Source organism: Homo sapiens, chromosome 16 (genome assembly GCF_000001405.40).
Source record: "Homo sapiens chromosome 16, GRCh38.p14 Primary Assembly".
Taxonomy (NCBI): Eukaryota; Metazoa; Chordata; class Mammalia; order Primates; family Hominidae; genus Homo; species Homo sapiens.
The window spans coordinates 68,885,987-68,899,525 of record NC_000016.10 but is presented as its reverse complement, the minus strand read 5'-3'; the positions used below and the strand labels follow the sequence as shown (position 1 = coordinate 68,899,525).

The 13,539-nt window shown below is 43.2% G+C and overlaps 1 protein-coding gene across 5 annotated transcripts in view, besides 1 other annotated feature; it reads right to left on the bottom strand.

The window, feature by feature from the left end:
• Window positions 1-13,539, bottom strand: part of TANGO6 (transport and golgi organization 6 homolog) — a 241,652-nt gene that overhangs the window by 185,657 nt on the left and 42,456 nt on the right. Inside the window, exon 1 of one of the 5 annotated variants that reach the window (XM_047434633.1) lies at window positions 5,083-7,950. The exons of 3 other annotated variants lie outside the window; for them this stretch is intronic. The gene's annotated coding sequence lies outside the window, so the exon portion shown is untranslated. Of the gene's footprint in view, window positions 1-4,851; window positions 5,001-5,082; window positions 7,951-13,539 lie in introns of those variants that run through there. One more of the 5 variants, XM_047434634.1, reaches the window with a different exon arrangement.
• Window positions 4,913-5,113: a silencer, noted in NCBI's record as "peak2625 fragment used in MPRA reporter construct". NCBI's record gives its function as "represses an SCP1 promoter by STARR-seq MPRAs in K562 erythroleukemia cells {active_cell/tissue: K562}" and the evidence as "EXISTENCE:reporter gene assay evidence [ECO:0000049][PMID:32103011]".

Genomic DNA, 13,539 nt, shown 5'->3' with positions numbered 1-13,539 from the left:
AAAATTAAAAAAAAAAAAAAGTGTGTGAGGATGGTGAATTTTATTAATAATCGTAATGCTGCATGTTTTAGTTGTACCTTTCAATAAGGCTAGCACAAACGCATTCAATTCAACAAACTTTTACTGAACACTCACTGGGCTCAAAGCACTGTTTTAGGTACTGTAGTGAATATAGAAATCAGTAAGGGTCATAATCCTTCATATTGCTTGTGATATATGGGAAGAATAAAAAAAGTAAACCTATTATTATTATATTTGAGATATGGTCTCTCTCACCCAGGCTGGAATGCAGTGGTGCAATCACAGCTCACTGCAGCCTCAATCTCCAAGCTCGAGTGATATTCCCATCTCAGCCTCACAGGTAGCCAGGACCACAGGCACACACCAGCATGCATGGCTAATGTTTTGTATTTTCAGTAGAGATGGGGTTTTGCCATGTTGTTCAGGCTGGTCTCGAACTCCTGGGCCCAAGCAGTCCTCCTGTCTCGTCCTCCCTAAGTGCTGGAATTACAGGTATGAGCCACTGCACCCAGCCAAGTAAACCAATAATAATAATAATAATAATAATAATAATAATAAGGCAGATAATTGCAAGTATCTTAAGAAGTACAAAAATGTTATTCAAAACTCCAATTAAACACAATAGGATTTCAAAATGTAATTCTGTTATAAGAAGTTAATTAAAACCTGATAGTATGGACAGTGATAATGGTAAAAAGAGAAAGAAAATGAGCTGACAATGATTATGCTCATGGTGTATGTTCTGGGAATCATAATAGGTTTTTATCTTCCAAGTACTATGCTAGATTCTTTAAAGAGCTAGCTTGTTAAAATTATAACAATCTCACAAAGTCACTACTAGGAGCCCTATTTTGCGGGTGAAAGCGGCCCAGTGTGATGGCTCACACCTGTAATCCCAGCACTTAGGGAGGCCAAGGAGGGAGGATCACTTGAGCCCAGGAGTTTGAGAACAGCCTTGGCAACATGGTGAGACCCCATCACTATAAAAAATAAAATACAATACAACACAATAAAAGGAAGGGAAGGGAAGCTCAAAGAGGCCCTTATTTATAGAAAGAGTTTTGAAGTAGGAATCAACGTTGTTCATGAAACTAAAGATCATGGAGGCACTTTCATGAGCTGGAAAAATCTCTGTGCTTTTCCAGTGAATCCTGTCTCTTAAAAATCAGCCCTAATTTTTCACATCCCTTAAGCCTCCTGACTCCTCTCTGGAGCCTGTTAGCCAAGGAGCCAGCTTCCTGTGCATGATCTAATCTCCATAAGCCCAGCTAAATGAAGTGCTGTGTACAGCAGCGTTCAGAAGTCATGTATAGGCCTAATGATGATATCACCAATTACAGGAGGCAAAAGAAGAGATTCTTCCAGATAACGTAAAGACCTATTGTTCGGCTTTGGATCCTGTGTTCTCGGAGGTAATCCCTGTGGAGCCATCCTTCCTTACCAGGATTTTTTGTACAAAAAATAATAAGCCCCCAAACAAGAACAACAAAGAAAACAAAAAACAAATGGAGTTAAGTCTTCATTATTTACTGGCTTGATAGGGCCAAAGCACCCCAAACTTTAACAAGAACTCAACTGAGCACATTCCTCAGGGTTATATGTTGTTGCTGATAAATTCCTCTAATTTGGCCAGGGGCGGTGGCTCACACCTATAATCCCAGCACTTTGGGAGGCTGAGGCGGGTGGATCACCTGAGGTTAGGAGTTCGACACCAGCCTGACCAACATGGTGAAACCCCATTTCTACTAAAAATACAAAGTTAGCAGTGCATGGTGGCACATGCCTGTAATCCCAGCTACTTGGGAAGCTGAGGCAGGAGAATCGCTTGAACCCAGGAGGCGGAAGTTGCAGTGAGCCGAGATCATGCCACTGTACTCCAACCTGGGCAACAAGAGTAAAACACCGTCTCAAAAAAAAAAAAAAAATCCGCTAATTTTTTGTTTGTTTCTTCCTTATACTTTTCTATATCTTCTTATAATGAACAAGTACTACTTGTGCCTAAAATTTAGGAAATAATGTACAGCTATTTATACGTATATATTATTTTTATATAAAGATTCAACAAATGTTTATTGAGTGCCACTTTTGTGCTAGCACACTTGCAGCCCTGCAGATACGGTGCTGAACAAAGTATCTGCTTCAAGGAGCTAATATTCTAGTAGAGGAGGCAGGCAAGAAACAACAACTATATAATACCAGGTAGTGACGAGTGCTAGGAAGAAAAATAAAGCAGGTTAAATGGATAGTGATGAGGGGAAGAGCATGCAGAAAGAGAAAGAAAAATTAAGAGTAGCACTTATCAGCTGGGCACAGCGGTTCACGGCACCTGTAATCCCAGCACTTTGGGAGGCAGAGGCGGGTGGATCACGAGGTCAGGAGTTCGAGACCAGCCTGGCCAACATGGTGAAACCCGTCTCTACTAAAAATACAAAAGTTAGCTGGACGTAGTGGTGTGCACCTGTAATCCTGGCTGCTCGGGAGGCTGAGGCAGGAGAATCGCTTGAACCCAGGAGGTGGAGGTTGCAGTGAGCCGAGATCATGCCATTGCACTCCAGCCTGGGCAATAGAGCAAGACTCTATCTCAAAAAAATAAAAAAATAAAAAAGAATAACCCTTACCAATTTACCAACTAGTATCTACCAAGTTCACGGATAGAAACAGAGACATAGGACTTTTTTTTAAGTGAAAAGATTTAGAATTAAGGTTTTCTTCTGTTTCAATCTGATAAATAAATGCTTTCTACAGTATCTTAAAGAATGTCAATGGCCTCTCCTTGATCTATACACAATTGCCACCTCCCTTCCAACACTAATAGTAAATTTCTTCGGTACTGAGCTCAAATCTACCTCCCTTTAAACTTCCTTGATGGAAGTACATGTAACCTTTACAAGTTTTGGGCTGGGTGCAGTGGCTCATGCCTATAATCCCAGCACTTTGAGGCTGAGGTGGGAAGATCACTTGTGCCCAGGAGTTCAAGACCAGCCTGGGCAACATAGCATGAACCCATCTCTACAAAAAATAAAAATTAGCTGGGCATGGTGGTGCATGTCTGTACTTCCAGCTACACAGGAGGCTAAGGCAAGAGGATCTCTTGAGCCCAGGGGCTTGAGGCTGCAGTGAGCCATTGCACTCCAGCCCAAGCAACAGAACAAGATTCCGTCTCTAAAAAATTAATTAAAATAAAAAATAAAAGCTTTGGGCTGGGTGTGGTGGCTCATATCTGTAACCCCAGCACTTTGGGAGGCTCAGGAGGGAAGATCACTTGAGTCCAGGAGTTTGAGACCAGCCTGGCCAACATGACGAAACCCTGTCTCTACTAAAAATGCAAAAACTAGCCAGGTGTGGTGGGGTGGGCCTGTAATTCCAGCTACTCAAGAGGCTGAGGCATGAGAATCATTGCTTGAACCCAGGAGGTAGAAGTTGCAGTGAGCCAAGATCATGGCTACTGCACTCCAGCCTGGGTGACAGAGTGAGACACTCCAGCCTGGGTGACAGAGTGAGACACTCCAGCCTGGGTGACAGAGTGAGACACTGTCTCAAAAAATAAAATAAAATAAAATAAAATTAAAATTAAAAAGTTTTGGACTAGTCATCTAAAAACAATAATCAAAATCAGTTTCACATAACTATGTACAATTATGTGTCAATTAAAATTTTAAAATAATAAAAATACATAATTTTTAAAAATACAGTTTCTTTTATCTGCCTTAAGCACAGCTATGCATCCTAATGACCAGATTGATTTTGGAGATGAAAGATATGCAATGGTACTTATTAAATTGATCCAGCACAAGTTCTGCCTCCTCCATAAGCCTGCCATATATTTACTCTTCAACTGTTCATTCATTCACTCACTCATTCATTCAAATATTGAGCACCTAACCACTATGAAATGATTTTTCTTCTTTAAATTCCAATTGCACTTTAGAGCCTGTGACATATAATTGGTCCAGGAATATAGTACATAGTTATCTCCCAACCCCTGAACTAGCCTGGAAGGCAAAAGTCAAGCTCCCTTCTTCAGCACCTATCAGAGTAGATTATGAAGTAGTGTTACCTGAATTTTTGGTGAATAGGCAGTGAATACAGTAGTACACAATTTAAAGGAAGCCCACTGTTACTGCTTTTATTTTTTTATTTTATATTTTTATTTTTTGAGACAAAGTCTTGCTCTGTGGTCCAGGCTGGAGTGCAGTGGCATGATCTCGCCTCAGTGCAACCTACACCTTCCGGGTTCAAGCAATTCTCGTGCCTCAGCCTCCCGAGTAGCTGAGACTACTGGCACATCCCACCATGCCTGGCTAATTGTTACTGCTTTTATGAAGCAAACAATAACTACCATGTACTGCATTCCACTCAAGAGTGAGCCAGGTATTCAGCCAAACATTTAACATACAGAAAGTCTTCATAAGAGGAGTCCTGCAGGTGAAGCATTTTTGTTCCTATTCTAAAAATGCGGAAAACTGAGGCTCAAAGAAGCAGTCAGTCAGTTGAGCAAAGACACATTGTTAGCAAAGGGCAGAACCAGGATAAACCCAGATCTGTCTGAGACAAAATCCATTCACAATCCACATAGAGGGAAAGCAGATTAGTGGTTGCCAGGGACTCGGAGGTTAGAATGGGGACTGATTGCTTCATGGATATGGGAGTTCCACGTACAGTGATGAAAAAGTTCTGGAACTAGATAGTGGTGATGGTTGAGCAACATCGTGAATAAACTTAATGCCACTAAATTATACCATTTCAAATGGTTAAAATGGTAAATCTCGTATGTATTTACTACAATATTAAAAATCCCCAAACACATACCCCTGGCCTCTCAATACTTACCTCCTTCCCCTGTGCATAATGAGATTTTCATTGCTTCAGTTCCTAGCCTATACCAATTTTATCCCAGCTGTCCCCACCCTCAGAGTCAGTATGCCAGCATGTCAGGCTTTTAATAACCCTAGTCCTGCAAGCTCTGCAAGCTGGAGCTGAAGTGTCCGTGTGGCACCATGGACAGCGGCTTCTGTAACACCTCCCCTTCCTCCTACTTATACAGCTCCCTTCTATTAATACCAAGTTTTCCAGTAGATCTCCAGGGGTATACTCTGGCCAGCTGCTTCCAAGGACAGCCCCCTTCTTCCAATCTCTTGTCTAGTTCTGAACTCCTATGCAGGTTAAAGTTCAGTCTGCACCTGATATCCAACATTTACACTCCCTATTTACCCTATTTACACTCCCAAAGTAGAATCTGGTCACTTCCCTCTTATCGTCCCCTGATCATTGGCTTATATTTGGAGTTTGGTAACCTATTCAGGGAAATGAGAGGCTGGACTGATTCAGCCAATGCTGCATTTCGAACTCAGCCAGCACTTACAATAGCCAAACAATGCACTAAAAAGGAATAATCCTTCCCATGAAATCATACTACACATGGAAGAAATGGTTGGGGTAGTTCCTTCCAGCCTCCTCCACATTGGACTGGTGACAGTATGGACTGAGGAAGCAGCGAAGGCACAACAGACAAGCTGTTCCTGCCCCATGGAGGGCAGGGCCTGACCGCTCCACCTCTGTGCCCCAACACCTGGGTGTTGTGTGATTTCCTTGGACTGTGCTTATGTTTAGTCTCTTTCTAGTTGGGGCGGGGCGGGGGGCAGGTCTTCCCTGATCACGTGGAGGCAAAGTGGGATGGGAATTCAAGTTCTGAAACACAATACAATACTTCACGTGTTATTTTTCTTTTCCTTTTTTTTTTTTTTTTTGGTTGTTTTCTTTTTTTTTTTTGAGACACAGTTTCACTCTGTCGCCCAGGCAGGAATGCAGTGGCGTGATCTTGGCTCACTGCAACCTCCGCCTCTTGGGTTCAACCAATTCTCGTGACTCAGCCTCCCAAGTAGGTGGGATTACAGGTGCGTGCCACCACGCCCGGCTAATTTTTGTATTTTTAGTAGACACGGTTTCACCATGTTGGCCAGGCTGGTCTCAACTCCTGATCTCAAGTGGTCCGCCAGCCCCACCTCCTAAAGTGCTGGGATTACAGGCATGAGCCACTGTGCCTGGCCACTTCATGTATGATTTCTACCTACGATAAAGATGTTCCTAAGAAGCATATCACTGAAAGTTCCCTTTTTTAATGGTATAATGGTTGGGTATGTCTTACACAGAGTTATTTATGAATATTTCCGCTGACCAGTTGTGTGACTTAACACAAATCAGTGGACTTCTCTGTTTCCTTATCTGTGAAACAAGGTTGGATGAATGGTGCTGTAAGGCCTCTTTCGTATCTCATCTATGATTCTCTGACTTGACTGCAAGTTTGCTCATTTCCTTCATTCCCTTTTGGTACCTCAATCATTAAGACGTGAGACTAGTTGAAAAAAATTAACCACCACTCCAACAAAAAATGCAAAACAACTGAAGTTTCAATGTGACCAGATGTAACAAGTTTCTAACTCTTCCTCATATGCTTTCTGTTATGCTATCAGTCCTGAAGTTAGTCCTTTAAAGATGAAATCATGTTCAGTTGAAAGGTTTTCTGGTTACTCTAGGTATTTCCACAACTAGGGATCCCCAAACAAAATACCAAGATATGGGAAAGCTGAAGAAGTGAAGGGAGAGAACTTAAGGTAGCTTTTCAATTGCGTGGTGTGATAAAAGCCTCTCTGGGGTTAAGTGAAAGGATGCCTGGAAGAAAGGCTGAACCTGGCCCGGGTGCAGTGGCTCACATCTGTAATCCCAGCACTTTGGGAGGCCAAGGCGGGCAGATTGCCTGAGGTAAGGAGTTCAAGACCAGCCTGGCAACATGGTGAAACCCTGTCTCTACTAAAAATACAAAAAATTAGCTGGATGTGGTGGTGGGTGCCTATAATCCCAGTTACTCGGGAGGCTCAGGCAGGAGAATCCCTTGAACCCAGGAGGCGGAGGTTGCAGTGAGCCGAGATCATGCTACACCACTGCACTCCAGCCTGGGCAACAGACAGAGACTCCGTCTCAAAAAAAAAAAAAAAAGAAAGACTGAACCTCCACTTACCCGTGGCTTTTCAAATACAAACATGTAGCAAGAGCTGAGGGGCAAAGTCAGAGGCCAATGTGGATCAATGAAAACAGATTAGGCAAGGATACAGACTGGTACCAACAACCCCAGTGGCAGTCTGGGGATTTCCACATTTCTTCCTAATTGCACCTCGGCTTTCTTTCGCAGATCCAGCCAGCTATGATATGAGGCGTCTGTGGTTAAGCCTTACAATTCTTCATCTAAGCTTAGAGGGCTGCTCTGCAATAAGCGATAGGATGATCTTAGCTATGGCCCACACACTACTGTAACTCTTTGTCTACTTGACTAGGAACGCCTTGAAGGCAGCAGTTGGTTTTTAATCATTTCTGTATTTGTGAACCTGGCAAAGTGTCTGGCTTTCAGTAAATACCTGATAAATGTTTCTGTGACTGATTGAATCAAAGAATAAATGAACAAAGTAGGCTGCTATTTTCTCAAAAGCTCTATTTTTGTGGGGAAGTTACAATGCCCTATGCATTTCCTTTCTCTTTCCCTCCCTCCCTCCTCCCTGCCTTCCTTCCTTCCTCTCTCCCTCCCTCCTCCCTGCCTTCCTTCCTTCCTCTCTCCCTCCCTCCTTCCCTCCCTCTTTCCTTTCCCTCCCTCCCTCCCCCTTTCCTTTTCTTTCCCTTTCCCTCCCTCCTCCCCTCCGTCCTTCCCTTCCTTCTTTCCTTTCTTCCTTCCTTCCTTAAGCTGTAGCTACAGGTGATTCCATCAGTGCTAACTAACAGAGCAGAATCATAGAACTTCAGCCATGGAAGGGAGAGCAGACTGAGCAAAGCTGGACTGTACATTGGCTTGTACAGCATCTAACTTCAATATCTGGAGGATGGAATTTTTCTGGAAGGAATGGCTAGAAATTTAAAAGAGAAAGAAAAAAGTGGGTGGAATCAAAATGGTCAAAAACATTAAGAATAAACGTGTTTCTGTTTCAAAGCAAACAAAATAAAACAAAACAGAAAGCAGTTCTCACATGCTCCATTTCTTTCTTTCTTTTTTTTGAATTCTTGAGAGGGAGCCTTGCTCTGTCACCCAGGTTGGAAAGAAGTGGTGCAATCTTGGCTCACTGCAACCTCCGCCTCCCCGGTTCAGGTGATTCTCCTGCCTCATCCACCCGAGTAGCTGGGATTACAGATGCCCATTATGCCCAGCTAATTTCTTTTTTTTTTTTTTTTTGAGATGGAGTTTTGCTCTTGTCACCTAGGCTGGAGTGCAATGGTGCGATCTCGGCCTACTGCAACCTCCGCCTCCCAGGTACAAGCAATTCTCCTGCCTCAGCTTCCTGAGTAGGTGGGATTATAGGTATGAGCCACCACACCCGGCTAATTTTTGTATTTTTAGTAGAGATGGGGTTTCACCACGTTGGCCAGGCTGATCTTGAACTCCTGACCTCAAGCGATCCCCCCACCTCGGCCTCCCAAAGTCTTTTTTTTCTTTTTTTTTTGAGATGGAGTCTCACTCTGTTGCCCCGGTTGGAGTGCACTGGTGCAATCTCGGCTCCCTGCAACCTCCGCCTCCCAAGTTCAAGTAATTCTCCTGCCTCAGCCTCCTGAATAGCTGGGATTAGAGGCACCCACCACCACATCCAGCTAATTTTTTATTTTTTTGGTAGTAGAGATGGGGTTTCGCCATGTTGGCCAGGCTGTTTTTGAACTCCTGACCTCAGGTGATCGAACTGCCTTGGCCTCCCAAAGTGCTGGGATTATAGACATGAGCCACCACGCCTGGCCTAATTTTTGCATTTTTAGTAAAGACAGGGTTTCACCATATTGGCCAGGCTGGTCTTGAACTCCTGACCTCAAGCGATCCGCCCACCTTGGCCTCCCAAAGTGTGCTGGGATTATAGGCGTGAGCCACCACACCCGGCCACATGCCCCATTTCTCATTTCATAGACTTCCATGACATTGCTAAGCATGTCCCTTAGAGACTACTGCAGAGTAGCTGAAAGAGCACAGGGAAGTCAGTAGTCAGGAAACTTGGATATGAATTTTGTTTCTGTCACCTTTGTGACTGCCCCAAATTACACGTTAAATGAGTGAACATGGATAAGACATTTCAGTCGCTCTCAGTCTCCATTTTCTCATTTATAATGTAGGCATCAAGCTTTTGGCATAAGGACCAATTAAGATAATTCATGTTAAAAGATTTTGTGAAATATATACCCCATACAAATGTTAGATTTCTTCCTAAATGTTTTATATGTTTGATGCTATTGTGAATGGAAATATTTTCTTAATTTATGGGCTTCTCTTTTACAGGGATGTACATGTGTGGGAATACAAACATGAGGGGCCTATTCGGAATCAAGCTGACTGAATCCTAACACTGAAATTCAGTACAGGCTGGAACTTGATTTTACACCTCCTAAAGATTAAACTAGTCAAATACAGCCTTCTAAAACATTACAGTGATCTTTCTGATAGTAGTGTTCCAGAACTTCTAATGCACTTGCTGAGTGTAATTAAGACTTGTGAGAGGAAAAAAGAACAAGGCAAGTTACCTAATATAGCAAGTATTTTGCACTGTGCATGCTTTCAGAACATATTGCATAAGATCGTCTTTTTAAAAAACAAGTTTCCCTGAACCAAAAGAGAACTGACAGTTTTTTGAGCACTTATGTGCTACAATATGCCACGAACCCACCAAGTTACCTTATTTCATCCTCACAAATCAAGTGTTAAATAAGTTACCTAAAGTTGCATGGACAGTCAACTTTGGAGCCAGATTCCAACCTAGGTCTGTCTGGCTCAAAGGTGCTACACCATACCAGAGAGTCTGAACCAAAGCATTTAGAAAAGCTAACATTTGCAATTCCCACAGCCTTGAAGATACTTCTTTCGGTCTTTTGCTTGTAATTCAAGGTCACAGTTCAATTACACATGGATGTTTCCAGAAAGAATTATTGCCAGTGCAGGGAACCAAGGTTAGAAAGAGACTAACTTTTCACTATAAAGTTTTTTGTCCTTAAATTTGTACCATGTGCAAATATGATCTTTTTTAAACACAGAAAGGGAGAGTGAAAGGGAAGGAAAGATTGGTTCCTGGACTTGCTCTGCCACTCCCCAGCTGTATGATTTGGAACAAGTCACTTCACAAAATCTTTTGGATTTTATTTTCTTTACTACAAAATGAGTGGTTAATCTGTCAAAACTCATAGACTATACAACTCCAACAGTGAATCCCAATGTAAACTACGGACTTTGGATGATACTGAGGCATTAAGGTGGGCTCATCAATTGTAACAAATATACCAGGCTGTCTGGAGATAGATATATGGGAACTCCCTGTACTTTCCACTTAATTTTTCTGTGAACCTAAAACTGCTCTTAAAAAATAAAGTCTATTGGTGGGCGTGGTGGCTCACGCCTGTAATCCCAGCACTTTGGGAGGCTGAGGCGGGTGGATCACTTGAGGTCAGGAGTTCGAGAACAACCCAGCCAACATAGCGAAGACCTACTTCTGCTAAAAATACAAAAATTAGCCGGGCATGGTGGCACATGCCTGTAATCCCAGGTGTAATCCCAGCTACTCAGAGGCTGAGGCAGGAGAACCACTTGAACCTAGGAGGCAGAGGCTGCAATAAGCTGAGATTGCGCCACTGCACTCCAGCCTGGGCGACAGAGCGAAACTCCGGCTCAAAAAATAATAATAATAAATAAAGTCTATTTAAAAAGTGAGAGGTTACACTTATTTCTGAAGTTCCTTCCAGTTCTAAGATTCTATTATTCTAATTTACTCTGCAAATCTAATTAAAAATTCAGAAAGAGGAGTCAAATATCCAATCTGACAGAATAGCTGTAATTAGAAATTCATTAAGATTAGATGGAGAAAAGACTTGGATAATTAAAGGCAAAATTCCCTGAATCTGGAAACAGAGAGATAAAATGGAAATGAGAATGGAGGAAATAAACTACTTAAGTGCCTCCCAGTTTTTCCTACCCTAACATTTCTTCTGCTTTTAGGAAGAGTGTCAGGCAAGTAATGTGAAGTATACTAAAAGGAAACGTTTTCCCCATTTCAGAATCTAGCCAATCCTCTTACGAGCAAAAAATGTCCAAATAAAAAGGCATTATAACTCTCTTACATTGTCCTACCCAGAACCAGTCTCTGTGCAACCTAGGCCTCCCTTCACCTCTCTAGGCAAAGAATACACTATTAATCCTTCTCATACCAGGGAGGGCAAAGAATTTAAGCATTCTAGGGATTGGGCCCCAGGCATTCAGAGCAGAAGGAGAGAATGGAGAACCACTGGACTAAAAGTGTTTTGAGCCGTGTATCCCCTTTATGTCTCAGATAATTTTACCAGATAGAAGGTACATATATAGAAGTGAGAATCATTTATGCAGATGAAGTACACGTGGCTATGCTAGGTTTTCAATTCAATTCACCTAGCACCTATGAATGCACCTACATGTGGAGAACTTTCCTCCTGGCCCCCCAGAGCCATCAGAACCACCTGCTCTACTCCCTGCTGGAGTGAAGGACGCAAGAGTAAAAAGCCCTTCCCCTATACTTTTTCCCATCATAAAATTTTCATTCAGAGCATTGAGGGTTTACTCTTTTTTGTTGTTGTTGTTGTTTCTGTTTTTTAGACAGAGTCTCTCTCTGTTGCCCAGGCTGGAGTGCAGTGGCATGATCTCGGCTCACTGCAACCTCTGCCTCCCGGGTTCAAGCGATTCTCCTGCCTCAGCCTCCCAAGTAGGTAGGATTACAGGCACGAGCCACCACGCCCGGCTAATTTTTTTGTATTTTTAGTAGAAACAGGGTTTCACCATGCTGGCCAGGCTGGTCTCGACCTCCTGACCTCAAGTGATTTGCCCGCCTTGGCCTCCCAAAGCGCTGGGATTATAGGCATGAGCCACTGTGCCTGGCCCTAGAAGGAAATATTTCTAATATGCAATCCTTCCCTTTTTAAACAAAGTATATTGGACATACCAGCCCCAACAAACTTTGCTTTTCAAATTCTTATGCCCTTTTTGAGTAGTTTTTTGGTGTTCTTTCTTGTTCCTCTCTGCTGGCATTCTCTTGTCATTGTGCCTTATTTAGTCTAACTTCTATTTTTTAACTTTGAATTCTCCTATGGTCTGAAAAACCAGATAACCTGCAGTCTGATCAGGATAGTGTATAAAGGTGACACGGGCTGCTCTGCAGCTAGTGCACAGCCTCTGGGGTGGCCACTGGGTGGGTGGTGGCAATGGTGCACATGACAGGGGATGTCAAGGTGGAAATGCCAAGTGAGGCACCAAGATAAAATAGACCCACACTCCAAAGAAAGACAGCAGACTAAGATGGGAACAGGTTGGGGATTATAAAAACTGCTCTTCCAGAAAGAGGGGAGAGAAGGATCAAAAGTATGGAAGGGCCGAGCATGGTGGCTCATGCCTGTAATCCCAGCACTATGGGAGGCTGAGGCAGGTGGATCACCTGAGGTCAGGAGTTTGAGACCAGCCTAGACAACATAGTAAAACCCCATCTCTACTAAAAATACAAAAATTAGCTGGGTGTGGTGGCTGGCGCCTGTAATCCCAGCTTCTTGGGAGGCTGAGGCAAGAGAATCGCTTGAACCTTGGAGGCAGAGGTTGCAGTAAGCTGAGATCGCACAACTGCACTCCAGCCTGCGTGACAGAGTGAGACTCAATCTCAAAAAAAAAAGTATGGGCCAGGTGCAATGGCTCATGCCTATAATCCCAGCACTTTGGGAGGCTGAGGCAGGTGGATCACCTGAGGTCAGGAGTTCAAGACCAGCCTGGTCAACATGGTGAAACCCCGTCTCTACTAAAATATACAAAAAATTAACTGGGCGTGGTGCCAGGCACCTGTAATCCCAGCTACCGGGGAGGCTGAGGCAGGAGAATTGCTTGAACCCAAGAGGCGGGGGTTGCAGTGAGCTGAGATCATGCCATTGCACTCCAGCCTGGGCAACAAGAGCAAAACTCTGTCTCAAAAAAAAAAGTATGGAGAGACTGAGATGAGATCGGTGAGGAGGATTTCTCTGGAGTGAGCTGTTTGTTAAGCCAGGAGCCCATCCCTCAACTCATCAATAATGAAAAGACAATAAACCCAATTTAAAAATGGACAAAAAATTAGCCAGGTGTGGTGGTGCATGCCTGTAATCCGAGCTACATGGGAGGCTGAGGTAGTAGGATTGCTTGAACCTGGGAGGCAGAGGTTGTTGCAGCGAGCTGAGATTGTGCCACTGCACTCCAGCCTGGGAGACAGAGCAAGACTCTGTCTCAGAAAAAAAAAAAATGGACAAAGGGCCTTAATAGACATTTCTCCAAAGAAGACATGAAAATGGCCAATAAGCACATGAAAAGCTGTTCAATATCATTAGCCATTAGGAAACATAAATCAAAATGACAATGAGATACTACTTTACTCCCACTAGGAGGACTATAATAAAAAAGACAAGACAGGTAAAAAATTTTGGCCAGATGTAGAGAAATTAGAGCCCTCATTGCTGGTGGGAACGTAAAATGGT